This window comes from Homo sapiens, chromosome 2 (genome assembly GCF_000001405.40).
Source record: "Homo sapiens chromosome 2, GRCh38.p14 Primary Assembly".
In the NCBI taxonomy this organism is placed as follows: domain Eukaryota; kingdom Metazoa; phylum Chordata; class Mammalia; order Primates; family Hominidae; genus Homo; species Homo sapiens.
The window spans coordinates 99479304-99493793 of record NC_000002.12 but is presented as its reverse complement, the minus strand read 5'-3'; the positions used below and the strand labels follow the sequence as shown (position 1 = coordinate 99493793).

The 14490-nt window shown below is 43.9% G+C and overlaps 1 protein-coding gene across 24 annotated transcripts in view, besides 5 other annotated features; it reads left to right on the top strand.

Moving 5' to 3' along the window:
• Window positions 2954-3839: an enhancer, noted in NCBI's record as "H3K27ac hESC enhancer chr2:100106417-100107302 (GRCh37/hg19 assembly coordinates)". NCBI's record gives its function as "activates a minimal SCP1, AML or CMV promoter by ChIP-STARR-seq in naive H9 embryonic stem cells {active_cell/tissue: H9 hESC(naive)}" and the evidence as "EXISTENCE:reporter gene assay evidence [ECO:0000049][PMID:30033119]".
• Window positions 2954-3942: a biological region, named in NCBI's record as "H3K27ac hESC enhancer GRCh37_chr2:100106417-100107302".
• Window positions 3273-3942: a silencer, noted in NCBI's record as "silent region_11812". NCBI's record gives its function as "represses an Ori minimal core promoter by ATAC-STARR-seq in GM12878 lymphoblastoid cells {active_cell/tissue: GM12878}" and the evidence as "EXISTENCE:reporter gene assay evidence [ECO:0000049][PMID:35858748]".
• The window catches only part of REV1 (REV1 DNA directed polymerase), an 89726-nt gene continuing 78827 nt past the window's right edge, over window positions 3592-14490 (top strand). For 13 of the 24 annotated variants that reach the window (NR_135651.2, NR_135653.2, NR_135652.2 and 10 more), the window contains exon 1: window positions 3777-3977. Coding sequence is in view for 7 of the 24 variants with exons in the window: in XM_047444725.1 (XP_047300681.1) it covers window positions 13808-14121 (314 nt within the window). In the remaining 17 variants the exon portion in view is untranslated. Of the gene's footprint in view, window positions 3690-3776; window positions 3978-4382; window positions 14122-14490 lie in introns of those variants that run through there. The other 11 variants (XM_017004311.2, XM_047444723.1, XM_047444721.1 and 8 more) reach the window with 11 other exon arrangements.
• Window positions 4053-4152: a silencer, noted in NCBI's record as "silent region_11811". NCBI's record gives its function as "represses an Ori minimal core promoter by ATAC-STARR-seq in GM12878 lymphoblastoid cells {active_cell/tissue: GM12878}" and the evidence as "EXISTENCE:reporter gene assay evidence [ECO:0000049][PMID:35858748]".
• Window positions 4223-4302: a silencer, noted in NCBI's record as "silent region_11810". NCBI's record gives its function as "represses an Ori minimal core promoter by ATAC-STARR-seq in GM12878 lymphoblastoid cells {active_cell/tissue: GM12878}" and the evidence as "EXISTENCE:reporter gene assay evidence [ECO:0000049][PMID:35858748]".

The window sequence follows — 14490 nt, the reverse complement described above, 5'->3', positions numbered from 1 at the left end:
TGCACCCTCAGAATACAGTCAAAATGCAGTAAGATACTTTATGGGGCCTGATATGGTTTGACTCTGTGTCCCCACCCAAATCTCATCTCAAATTTTAATCCTCATGTCGAGGGAGGGACCTGTAATCCCCTCGCCACCATGTCAAAGGACGGAGGTGATTGGAACATGGAGGCGGTTTCCCCCATGCTGTTCTTGTGATAATGAGTGAGTTCTCACTAGATCTGATGGTTTTATAAGGGGGTCTTCCTCCTTTGCTTTCTCTTCTCTCTCCCACCACCTTGTGAAGAAGGTGCCTGCTTCCCCTTCTGCCATGATTGTAAGTATCTTGAGGCCCCCCCCAGCTATGTGGAACTGTGAGTCAATTAAACCTCAGTCCTTTATAAATTACTGAGACTCAGGGAAGTTCTTTACAGCAGCGTGAGAACAGACTAACACCAGGCCCTTCATGCGCTGGACCCTACTTGCCTCCCCAACCTCCCTTTTCAACATGGACCCTTCCCCACAGCCCACACCACTCTGCACTTTGCACTCTGCAGTTTCTAAAATGTTCCCTGTTCTCTCTCCTTTCTCTGCCTTTGCACATCTCGCTCCCTCTGGAAATGGCATTTCCTAACCAACTGGACTAGTCTCTCAGAACTTACTGAGATGTCACATTTTTAGGAAGCCTCCCTGACACCTGTCCTGTGTGCTTCATAGATTGCCCTCAAGTAACAGCCCTGAGCCTGTACTGCAGGTACCTGTTTGTTTGCCTCCTTCACTACACTGGGAGCTTTTTGGGGGCAGGCAATGTATTTTGTCCACTGTTGACCCTACAGGGTCTGGCACAGGGACAGGCATATAGAATGTACATGATAACTGATTGTTGCATCATCCTAAAATCTGTGAACAGTGTTGCTTAAATACAGATATATACACCTGTCCATGTATGTTTGAAAGAGTTCAGTCATATTGTCAAACATGATGGTATGTTTGAAAGAGTTCAGTCTTGGTGAACCAATTCCACTGCCAATTTCCTAAGTTTCTGTGGGTGTGAGATCATTCTGCCTTATTATTTCATCTTTCAGCATAATGCACTGAATCCTTATTACAATCAGCACACTCTTTCCTATGGAGTAAATCACATGTTATTGTGTCTACATCAGCCAAGGGACTTGAGTACAAACCTCTGTTTTTAGTAGTTTCATGCTGTTTGTTTTTGGTATTTGAGAGACTAGATGTAAATGTTTCCAAGGAAAGTTTACTGCCAGATACAGAGGTGAAAGGACAGAAGTCATGTCCTTATCCATGGCTGTCCCTCCAAAGGTCAGTGGTTGGCACTTTCATAGGCCTTTTGAGATAGCAGTAATGAAATGAATTTTAATGAGGTTCAGAAAACGGAAATAAGGTACAGTGCCCCAAAGCACTCCCCCAAGTGTAGGGGTCCAGCGCGGCCATCTCTAGACCCCCAGAGTGGCCCAAAGGTCAGCCTGACTCCCCTTACATGAGAAAGATAATCCTATGAGAATAAATATAAATAGATAAGTGGGTGAATAAATGTAGGTGCATGAAATTGAAACAAGAGGACTTCATTATGTGATGGCATAAAACATAATATTCTGGAATGGACAAAAATAAAACTTTGGACTGGGTGAGGTGGCTCATGCCTGTAATCTTAGTGCTTTGGAACACCTAGGTGGGAGGTTCGCTTGGGACCAGGAGTTTGAGGTTACACTGAGCTATGATCTTGCCACTGCACTCCAGCCTGGACAACAGAGCAAGACCCTGTCACAAGGATGCTAGAATTTGTCCATAAATACATTTTTATTTATGTATTCCCCATCTCTCTTTTTATCCTATTTTATGTAGACAGCAACGTGATTTTTTTTCGTCCTTTACAGAGGCTGCCTACTAGTTTGCAGTTAATACCATTTTACTGTATTCTATAAAGGTATTGCCAAGGTCAGTTGGCTCAAGGTTTGTGTTTCTTCCTTGAGAAAAATACAAAAAGAAGAAAAAAAAAGATCTTCGGTTTGAATACGAGAGTGGAAAAGAAAATTGAAATACAATCGTGCAGGAATGCTGCCATTTAGACATTTAAAACAAGCAAAAGAACAACAACCAAAACAAAACTCACCCATAACAAGGGGTTACCACTGTTTTTCTGTAGCATCTCAGCAGATGACCTCCTGGTGTTGCAGTCGGCAACTGGTCGTGAGTCTGTTAAAATTATGGGCAGGCACGGTGGCTCACGCCTATAATCCTAGCACTTTAGGATGCCAAGGCTGGTGGATTACCTGAGGTCAGGACTTCCAGACCAGCCTGGCCAACATGGTGAAACCCCCTCTCTACTAAAAATACAAAAATTAGCCGGGCATGGTGGCGCATGCCTGTAATCCCAGCTACTCGGGAGGCTGAGGTGGGAGAATCACTTGAACCTGGGAGGCGGAGGTTGCAGTGAGCCGAGATCGCGCCATTGCACTCCAGCCTGGGCAAAAGAGCAAAACTTCGTCTCAAAAGAAAAGAAAAGAAAAGAAAGCAATTACGCAATTTGTTTTAAATTATGACGTCTTTGAAAAGTATGCAATCTAAATTCGTTGGATTAGCGACGAGAATACTGAAGTTGAAGTGCATTTATAGAAGTCTATAAAATGGCAAAAAACTGAAAGGGAAAGAAATGAGCTATTTGAGTATTCTCTGTGTTGCTAGTAAACAAGTTCCAACTCTGCAAATCAGTTTTCAAAAGAATACTGATTGTTTCCTAAGTACCTGCAAACTCTGAAGCATTTTAGGCAAGGGAATGAGTGGGAAAAAAGTATCTTCATGTTTGTGCATTACAACAATAAAGACTATTATGTAACAATGTGGAGTCTTCAAAGCGACCCTGCCAAGAGGGAGAAAGTGGTCCTTATGGACGGATTGTTTTCTGCTAGAAGGCCCTCAATTAGAATTGTACTTACGCATACATAATATAGGATATTATTTTTATATTCATAGAAAACTGCTTTCTCGGGTAACTCCAGCGCTGTACATGGGATGGGATACCGGCCCTCCGTTTACAAATACTCAGGCGCAATGCTGCCCGGGCACTCAAAGGACAGAAGATAGTGTCTGTGCCCTGCGGGAGCAGGCCACGAATCCCGAAAACGCCGTGGCGCAGTGCTCCTTCCCGCGAACCTGAGTGGGCCGTGGTTCTCGGTTGCTCTGGACATAGGAAAATGTCAGTTCATGTGTGTCCCTTTCTCCACTAGATGTCACTGTAAATCAATTGCTTAAGGAGGGAACCCGGGCGTCTGGCGCATCTTCACACAGTACCGGGGTTTGAAGCCCGGTCAGTGTCTGCACTTGTGTCCTTCCCCACTGGGGAGCCCCAAGGCGGGGCAGGCGCGGGGACTCGCTGTGCACGGAGCGGCGCGCTGTCCGAATGGCAACCGAAGAGCCGCGACCCGGTCAACGAAGCGCGGGGGTGACCGGAGCAGGACGGGCGGGCAGGCGGCGCAGTGCGTGGGCGGGCCCGCGCTGCGCTCCCCTCCGCCCAGCTAGCGAGACGGTCACGTGCCGCCCAGGCGCTGCCCCTTGCGGGCGGCTGCAGAACAACAGGGCGGGGCCGGGGAGGGGAGGAACACGGAGGCCGACGCCGGGCGCCGCGGTGCTACGCCCGAGGCTGGGGTCGCCCCGGGCCGGGGGGAGCAGAGCGCGTGCGCCGCGCGGCTGTGAGCGCGAGCGGGGCCGGGGAGCGCGCGCGGAACGCTAGGGGGCGTGGCTGCGGCGCGCGCGCTAACCGGAGGGGGAGGGGCGGAGAGCCACCGCGGAGCGCGCGCGGGGTTGGTTGCCGCGAGCGTGGGGGAGCGTGGACCGCGGCGCTGCTCAGCGGTGGGGCTGCCTTCCCCCGGCCCTCCTCCCTGGTCCCTGGCGAGGGCACTGGCGGCGGCGGGGCCGGGGTCCGCAAGGCCGGAGAAGGCCGCCGGGCCCGGGCATGGTGGTCTGGGGCAACGCGGAAGGTGAGCGACCCCCGGGCCGGCGGCGGGGTGGGGGAGGGGCGGGATCGGACACGCGTCGCCCGGAGGCGCCGCAGACCCGCCCGGCAGCGGCCAGAGCGCGGTCGGCCTGAGGTGGCGCGGGGGAGGGGTGCGTCGCCCCGGCCCCGGCCCGCGGCCGTCCTGTCGCGGCCTGGGCTGTCCACGGCGCCTTCCCCTGACGCTCGCAGCCGCCGGGTTATGTAATGTGTGACCTCCCCTCCCCTTCCCTTCCGTCATGGCGCGGCCGGCCCCGCGCCGCCGCCAGCCCCATGGGCCGCCCCGCGCCGACCCCTGGCGCAGCGGCCCTTCCCTCCGCGCCCGGCCGCATCCCGCCGGCCCGGTCAGACCGCGCCGCAAACTCCTTCCTCCTGCGCCGGCGCCTCGGCCGGCCATTCAGTTCCGCGCCATTCATTCACGCGCGCGTTCGGGCGTTCGTTCCACAAGCGTTTGTAGAATGTCGACCCGGTCGAGCCGCCGCTCCCACCCGCACTCCAGCCACAGCGTTTTTCCGCACCCCGCCTTCGACGTCCCCGGTGCATCCCAGAACCGGTCGGAATGTCCGAAGGCGGTTGTTGCTCCCTTGTTTTTCCTTGCTGCTTGTCCGTTCGCTAAATACGCTGGGCGCCGTTCCCCAACTGTCCTTCCGAGAGCCCCTTGCCCACTTCTGTACTGTTACAGTGACGCCGCTCTGGGCGCACCGAGCCGCGCTGTGTTTCGCTGCTCTTCCTACCTATTCTCAGTTTGTAAAGAAATAATCTCACATAACACTCCTTAATGTACTCCTCCGTAAGATAAATTGCAGATAATATACGTCTGCTAATTCTCTTTATCTCCACGTCTTCTCACGCCATGTACTAAGTAGAAATGGTTTCATTTAGGTGAAAATAATGCAGACTAGCACATAGCACAACAAGGGCTTGTAACTATTAAGGACTTTATGTAACAGTCTGTAATTCTGTGTATCTGTCTGGTCTTTCCGGACTTGGCACTTTAGTCTCCGAGAATAAGCCATTTCCTGTTTAGGTAGGGTAGGACCAACCATAACCTTGGTTCTTTCTATGGAGTTCTGTATGTAGCAAATCAGCCTGTGGGAACCATCTATCTGTCCACCAACCTTTCACACATATTCTTGGGTTTGCCCGTGCAGGGACCAGTGCTGCGTATTGTTCCCTGCCTTCCTGTACTGGACACTTAAGAGCTCACCTAAAGTTCCTCTTCCAGGAATCATTCTCCAGTATACAAGGCTCTCTTCCATTCAATTCTTAGGCTATTTGCGCCTTTTCCTGTGTTGCGTTTATCTTTTTAGCCCTGTCTTCTCTTACTGTGTAGGACCTTTTGAGGGTAGAGTCTGTACCAAACTCCTATCTTTTGTTGTAGAACCTTAACCGCTATTTTACGGTAAACCGTACATATTTAATTTTTTTTGTAAAGATGGGAATTGCTCTTTTAAAATTAATTTCTATGAGGTCTCAAGTAGAACATAATTTTTAAAAAATAATGTGCTTGAATATATAAGATCACTACATTTCCAACTTCCCACTCGCAACTTCAAAACTCTGATTCTACATAAGAGCATTAAGGAAACGTTGTCCTCACCAGCAACAAACTGGTCATTATTCATAAGAAGTTGCAGTGACTACATATAATATATATTTGAAAGCACTTTCTTTGATAGCTGCTGTAGTGGAAAGACAGGAAGTTCACAGTTACATGGAGGTTAGATTTCTGGCCCTACAAATTGTTAGCTGGTGACTGGACAAGTTAAGTTACTAGTATCTCTGATTTTTTCTCGTTTGTAGAATGAAGATACCATTTCCCACCTTGGGTAGCTGAGGATTAAATCAGTTCTTAAACGTGAGACATCTAGTGACACCATGGTACTCAGGAGGTGCTCAGTAAATACATATTCCCTTTGGTATACCTGTTTATTGCAGTTCACAATCTAGAATGAGCCAGGATGTGCTAGAGACAAAGCGTGAGAGGAAAGGTAATCAGAAGAGGTGACAGGTACCTCTCGTCTCCAAATAAATGAACAAGTCCTACACTAAAGAGCATTGTGGGTCTTTCTGCTTTTCAAGAATGTATGGGTGTGTATATGTGGCGTATTACTAATCATAGAGTATATTAAACAGAACATTTAAAAATGAAAAGTTTTTTTTTACTATAATAGCACCAACTGAAGCGTTAACATGGACATTAAAAAATAATCTTATTTTTTTCCAAAGGCAAGTCAGGAGACGAGACGGGAAAAGGGATATTAAAAAGGCTCTTTAGAGGCAATTAGGTTGCAGGCTCTTCTGTTAGCATCTACTTATAAACAGTACATGAATCCTAGTCTAAGTTCCATTATCTCTTGGTTGGAGTGTTTCCATAGTGCCTTTACTGGTTTATTTCTCTTGCTCCCTGACTGTTCCCTAGGGATTCACCTTGACAACCAGAGGGATCTTTTTAAAAATGTAAATCAGATTGTCACTTTCTTGCTTAGTGTCCTCTAAAAGCATCCTGTGAACCACTTACATTTGAATCTTAGTCGCCATCAGGGCATAGCATGATTTGGCAGCTGCCAGCTTCTAACGTTACCTCTTACTAGGTGACTGACTTTCAGCAACCTACCCCAGTCCCATAGTCATTTTGCCGGTTCTTGAACAAAGTGTTTCTTCCTTAGGATGTTATACTTACTATTCTTTTAGCTGGACCACCCCTTCCTCTAAGTGGTCAAGGCTCTTCATGTCTTGTCTTGTGTTTCTGCTCAAATGTCATCGCCTCAGGCCTTTTCTAATTCTAAAATAGGAACCAGCCCCTTCCTTTATAATCTTTTATTCTTTATTCTCTTTTTCTCCATAGCATTTATTACTAGGTGAAGATACACTGTTTTTTTTTTCCCACTTATTTATTTCCCCCCTTAGACTTGTTTGCTGCCAGCCCTGTTCTCAACAAGCGAGCAGAGGTCTTGTCTGACTTGTACACAGCTTTATCCCCAGTGCTTAGAACTGTGCCTGGTACATAGTAGGCTGTCAGTAAAACTTGTTGAGTAAATGAATAGTATAGTTGATTTAAATATTGGCTCTGGAATCAGACAGCTAGGGTCAGAATTCTCTGGCTCCCACCATTTACTGATTGAGACTGTGGGCAAGTTAATAACTTGGTGGTGCCTCAGTTCTGCTCATCTGTAGGATGACTGTAATAATACCTACCTCACAGGATTATGGTGAGTAATAATTGAGTTAATGTATGTAAAGTGCTTAGAACAGGGTAATTTTTTTTTTTTTTGAGATGGAGTCTCGCTCTGTCGCCCACACTGGAGTGCAGTGGCACCATCTTGGCTCACTGCAAGCTCCACCTCCTGGGTTCACGCCATTCTCCTGCCTCAGCCTCCCGAGTAGCTGGGACTGCAGGCACCTGCCACCACGCCCGGCTAATTTTTTGTATTTTTAGTAGAGACGGGGTTTCACCGTGTTATCCAGGATGGTGTCGGTCTCCTGACCTCGTGATCCGCCCGCCTCAGCCTCCCAAAGTGCTGGGATTACAGGCGTGAGCCACTGGTCCCAGCCCAGAACAGGGAAATTTTAAACCTTCTAGGAACTATTTGAAATTAGCTTGTTCACTTAGGATTTTGTATTTTGGCATGAGATAAAGGTGGGTTAATTGAATTTTTTTCTTTTTTAACATTTTTTGAGACAGGGTCTTGCTCTGTTGCCCAAGCTGGAATGCAGTGGTGTGATCACGGCTCACTGCAGCCTCAACCTCCTGGGCTCAAGCCAGCCTCCCGCCTCAGGCGCTCGAGTAGCCTGCACTACAGGCATGTGCCACCATGCCTGGCTAGTCTTTTAATGTTTTGTAAAGATGGGGTCCTACTGTTTTGCCCAGGCTGGTCTCAAACTCTTGGGCTACAGTCTCCTGCCTCATCCTCCTGCCTCATCCTCCCAAAATGGTGGGATTACAAGTGTGAGCCACTGTGTCTGGCTAAATTTTATATTTATTACTTTGGTGCTGAATTTTTGTTAGCCACCAAAATTGTATTTATGGAACGCCTTTAAAAAATACATTTTGTGGATGTCTAGAGCAAATTAAAAAATAAACTGTTGAGAATGGTGACTGGTGTTTGGTCTTAATGTGTAAGTCAGGTTTTTTATTTTTCAATCTGTAGAAGATGCTAAGAGTGATTATCTCAACAACCGCCCACCAGAGTGGCTTTTATAGAGTTCCCTTTGAAGTTCAGCTGGAGATCTGATTGTGGTGATGAAAGGACTTGCTGGAGGCTTCGTGTCTTCAGACAGGAAAGTCCTTGAAGATCCAGTTGAAATATGAGTCTTGTAGTATTTGGGAAGGAAATTTTTATCATCTTTAGTTGTGTTCAGTTTCTCCCTTCTTTCACTGGGTTTTTCCCCTCAGATTATATTTGGTTATTAATTGGAACTTAAAGTAACCCAGCTGTGCTCTGTATCTTTCTGTTCTTTTCATAATGATTTATTTTTCTTTAGCAGATACAGAAATAAGAGAAGAAAGAATTGATGGAGACAGTGACTTTGTAATAATAGATATTTTCAGCTAATACAACTTGAATTATTCTCATAAACTAAGATTCTGCCTGTGGTAATTGAACTTGCATAATACCAGTTATTTTAAATTCACTTGTCCTTAGTAAAATGCTTCTTTGTAGGATTGTTATTTCATTTCTCAGTCTGAACTTTAACAAGTAATAGGATCCTAAACCCTAGGTGTAAATTTTTTTTTAAAAGTCAAAGGGCTGCTGCTTTGTGTAACATTTCTTCCAAAATTTAATAATTGTGAGTTATTATTTACTGTGTGCTAGGCTCTTTCCTAGGTGCAGTGTCTTAATTAATATCTACAGCTACCGTATAAGGTTGGCACCATTATAAAGAAACAGATTTAGAGAGGTGTTGTTATTTGGCTGGTTACACAAGAAAGGAGGCAAGATTTCAGGCCAGTTCCCGAGGTCATAACCGGTCTGCTGTGGGACACCTTAAAATGACAAGGTTTTTGTTTGGAAGCTTGCCGTTAAATTTATCTCATTATTTGTGAGTGTGTGTTGTTAACTACTGGCAGCTTCATCATTATTTATGGCTAATTTTTTGTTTTTTTTTTAGATTTAACTACTACTACTATACTTAAATGCTTGTATTATAAGTGAAATGTTTTAATAGGATGATGACTTGCATCGTAATTAATGTTTTTCTCATATTTAAAAGTCATTAAAAATAAGTCAAAGAATCATGTGTCTTGGTGCTTCAGCTTTGTAAATAGTTTGAAAAGGTTTTGCATATAATACATTAGATTTAAGAAAACATAAATGTCTTAAGTTTGCTCAGGGCTAAATTGGAGGTAGCAAGTAAATATTTAGTAAAAGTTACTAGTGATGTGTTTCCTGCTGACTATGGGGCAATTTTTTTTTTAAACTTCTATCTTAGGTTCTGGGGTACATATGAATGTTTGTTATATAGATAAACTAGTGTCATGGGGGTTTGTTGTACAGATTGTTTCATCACTCAGGTATTAAGCCTGATACACAATAGTTACTTTTTCTGCTCGTTTCCCTCCTCCCACCCTCCACGCTTAAGTAGACTCAGTGTCTATTGCTCCCTTCTTTGCGTTCATGAGTTCTCATCATTTGGCTGCCACTTGCAAGTGAGAACATGTGGTGTTTGGTGTTCTGTTCGTGTGTTAGTTTGCTAAGGATAATAGCCTACATAGGAGATCTTTACCTGGATCTCCTTCAATAAGGAGGAACACATAGGTGGGATGTTTTTACATAAATTTTAATGGTTTCTGACATTTCCTTGCAAGGCTTTTTTAATTTGTAAGAATATCTAAATTATGAGTTATTGGCTTCTCAACACCTCAGAATGTCAGGGGTAGGAAGAATCTTACAGACTCCAGAGGCAATGCCATTATATCTTACTGGAGGAAAGTGAGACCCCAAGAGTCATTTGCCTGCTAAAGAGGAGAAATAAGATGAGACCCTAGGTTTTCCCCCCAAGGCCATTTTTTCCCCCTGCTACACCAAACTGTTCCCTGCATTACTGAGGGAAAGACCAGCAACACTTAGTATCTCATATTCAAGAGGGTGGAAAATAAAACGATATGTTCTTGTAAAATTACGATTTAAAGTCTTGATTTTATCATTGGAACATAATAGAAAAAAATTTTGTCCTCTATTATAATGCAGTTGAAAATGATACTTTCTCATATAGGCAGGAGACTGCCTTATCCACATAGGATGCTTTGAGAAACCTTTTAAAGACTAGTCGGGTCCCATGGCTTTGTGCTTGAATTAAAATATTAGGTAGTGATGGGCAAAAAAAGTTGGTTGTGATGTGAGTAGTTCGTATTCAAACTCATAGCCTATTAAGCAAAGTGTTGCTTACTGACCTCAGTCATTCCTGATCATACCCAAGGCTAAAATGAACTTTTTGGAGGTTTAGTCACAAAATAATGGCTGCATCTTACATTCTCTAAGCTCCATCATTTCTACATTTGCTATTTCTAGGAATGGACTTAATGCATTTTTATCTTTTAGGCACTGGTCTGAGTTATGTAGTTGAAACTACTTAGATTTTTTGCTCTTTTAAATGGTTTTCATTAAGTTCTGTATTTTACTCATAATAAATTCAATTTCTTGATGACTCCTTAGCTTTTTATTTTAAGCCTTTTTTTTTAAAGCATTTAACCTGGACAGTTCTGAACTTTACAAATGTTTTAACAATTTCTTCTTCAATATCTTAAAGACCGTAACAAAAAAAAAATTTTTTTTTTTTTTTTTGAAACGGAGTTTTGCCCTTGTCGCCCAGGCTGGAGTGCTATGGCATGATCTTGGTTCACTGCAACCTCCTCCTCCCAGGTTCAAGCGATTGTCCTGCCTCAGCCTCCCAAGTGGTTGAGATTACAGGCACCTGCCACCACGCCCAGCTGGGTTTTGTATTTTTAGTAGAGACGGGGTTTCACCATGTTGGCCAGGCTGGTCTCGAACTCCTGACCTCAGGTGATCCCGCCTGCCTCGGCCTCCCAAAGTGTAAATTTTTTAATACAGAATTTTTTCTCATGATAATCTTCTCTGTGTCATTCCAATTTTAGTGTATGTGCAGCCGAAGCAAACACAACGTTTTATATCTTAAAGAGTGCTTTTACCTAACTTTTTTCTCATTTAATTCTCTTAAGAGTCCTGGGAAGAGAAGTAAGGCAGCATATCCTATTTTATAGCTGTAGTGTAATTTGGGCACCTGCTACCCAGAGTTAGGTAAGGCATCGTAAGTTAAGGGTACAGTCTGCAAGACTCTCCTCACTTCTTATATTAGCTACAAACTCCAGGACTTGCAGGTTATCCACACTCTGACCAACTGGCTACAACTTTCGGAGTTCCCACTACACCTCACGTTTGATAATTTGGTAGAATGACTCGCAGACCTCAGGAAAGTGCTGTTCTTGGAATTACAGTTATGATACAAATCAGGACCAGCCAATTAAAGAGACACATAGAACAAGATCTGGGAGGGTCCCAAACATGAAGCTTCCATGTCCTCAGGACGTGTCATCCTTCCAGTACAGCAGTGAATGATTGCCAGCCAGGAAACCTCACTTACTCTACAGCATCTGGAGTTTTTATGGGACTTTTATTACATAGGTATGATTGAACTCAGTCCCCAGTCCCCTTCTCCCTGGAGGTCAAGTTGTTAGGCTGATGTCAGGTTGCTCAAAGCCCAACCCACTATTCACATGGTTGGCATTTCCAGCATGGCCAGGCCCCATCCTGAAACTAGGGGCCTACTGGGAGTCACCCTGTTAATAGAAACTCAGCTGTGGGCCAAGGAGGACCCATTATGGATTCATGGATAACAAAGACACTCCTATCAGTTGGGAGACTCCAAGAGTAGAGTTTTCCAGGAATCAGACAATGGCCAGTCAAATTTTTTTGTTTTTGTTTTTTTAGGGACGGGGTCTCACTGTGTCACAGTGGTGCTATCATAGCTCACTGTAGCCTCCAGCTTTCAGGCCAAAGTGATCCTCCTGCCTCAGCCTCCCCAGTAGCTAGGACTACAGGCACACACCACCGCACCTGGCTAATTTAAATTTTTGTGTGTGTGTGTGTGTAGGGATCTCCCCATGTTGCCCAGGCTGGTTTCAGACTCCTGGCCTCAAGTGATCCTCCTGCCTTGGCCTCCCAGAGTGCTGGTATACAGGCATGTGCCACTGTGCCTGGGCCCCAAATTCTTTATTACACAATGCTGGCTAAAGAAGTGAGAACAGACACTTGCTCAATTTATGACAGCTAAAACTAGTAGTAGTGATAGTAACCCAGTTACCTCTGTTGTATTAAAAATTGGAACAGGTTGCATTTGAATATGGATAGAAGGATTGCCTTCTGTTGAGAATTACTACATAACATTTTTTTTATTGATACAATATAATTTAAAACTTGGGTTATTCACTTGAGTTAAATGTTTTAATTACATAAATTTTGTAGCTTGGGTTATAAACTGTATACTTGATACTTTAAAGCTTAATAATTGGCTGTAAAAAATCTGAATTTTGGTATTGGTCTTGAATTTGTACTTTTAGATGTACGTAATTATTCATTAGTTATTTGGAAGAAGAAATTATGAAGTGAGATATTTATGGGTAGGGTGGAGGCATTGATAATCTATTTGTGTTAGGGTTGTAAAATGTTTCAGTAACTTAATTGCTGTTTTGAATTTTAGCACTTGAGTCAAAGTTACTAACACTTCAAGTTTACTGTGTTGGAGGTTAATATTCTTTTGCATATTATTTATGCCTAATCTTATTTCAGATTGTCACTTGAAGATTATATTGAATTATCTTGGAACTCACTGTTCCTCAGAGATTATAGTGTGCTAAATTGTTACATTGAATAAGACTTCTGGTGTCTTGAAGAATGTAGCATGTTGTAATGTTTTTGTTTTTTTAAAAGTATATAATTTTAAATATATTCTTGGTGTAAGCAAGGGAAAATTCCAGAAGCAGTGACAACTTCTGCTTCCTTTATGTTTATTTGGAATTACATTTAATAGAAGCATTTGTGAGAAAAGGGATTTGTGAATGCTGGAACTGATAGCAGGTCCAGAAAAAAAGAGTTTGACTATATTTTTGAATTGCAGTTGCTCTGAGGGATTTGTTTTTAGTTATGTGTCATTGTTTATGCCAGTTACCTTGTGAGTTCAGAGATCTAATGACTTGTGTGGGTGGAATGCACAAGGTGAGGACTTCTGCTAAGATTTATACGTTATGGTGTAGGCTAGGCTCAGGAGCCAGAAACTCTCCCACCCAATTTACACTTGCTTAAAACTTACAAAGTAAGGTTTAAACTTCTTAGTATGATATATTCAAGGCCTTCTGTTATATTTCTCCACCTACCTTAGTTTGTCTACCTCTACATCTGGCCATGTTCCTACATACTGGTAAGTTCTAGAATGTTGTCCTAAACATCTTTTTGTATTTTTTATGAGGCAGAGTCTTGCTCTATAGTCTAGGCCTGAGTGCAGTGACGTGATGATGGCTCACTACAGTCTTAACCTCCCAGGCTCAAGCAGTTCTCCCATCCCACTCTCCCAAGTAGCTGTGGCCATGGGCGTGCACCACCATGACTGGCTAATTAAAAACAAATTTTTTGTGGAGACAAGGGTCTCACTTCATTGCCCAGGCTGATCTCGAATTCCTGGGCTTGAGCAGTCCTCCTGCCGTAACCCCGCAAAGTGCTGAGATACAGGTGTGAGCCACTGCACTCGGCCCTTTTATGTTTTTAATTATGAATTTTTCTTCTTCCTGAAATCTTTGCCTTCATGTCACCCCTTCCCACCTACCTTCTATCCTACCTTCTATCCTGTAAAATCCTACTGATTGTTCTTAGTTCAGATCTACCTCTCAGTGATGCTTTCTTGGGTGTCTTCTCGAACATGAGATTTATGGCTGTTTTCTCTGTGCATTTATTGCATTCCATTAGTGCCTATAATGCAGGATCTTGTATTATTATTATTATTATTATTATTTTTACTTTTTTGGTCTTGTTCTGTCTCCCAGGCCAAGTGCAGTGGTTCACTGCAGCCTTGACCTTCCAGGCTCAAGCGATCCTCCCACCTCAGCCTCCTGACTACAGGTGTGTGCCACCATGCCTGGCTCTTTTTATTATTTTTATTTTTTTTGTAGAGATGAGGTCTTGCTGTGTTGCTCAGGCTGGTCTCACGCAAGAGATCTTCCCACCTTGGCCTCCAAAAATGCTGGGATTACAGATCTCATATTATAGTTATATGCAAATCTCTGATAACCTTGGATTGTGGTTTATTCTCATTTTACTCACCTTGAAAACTATAGATTATAGTAAATTCTAAGTGAATGGAGAAAAACCATTAGCTCAGACCTGGAATTTGGGGTAAGGGGAAGTGGGGGGCAGGACAGGCGAGATTTTGTTGCCTGTAATCTTTTTGTTTTTTTTTTTTTTTTTTGAGACAGAGTCTCGCTCTGTCAC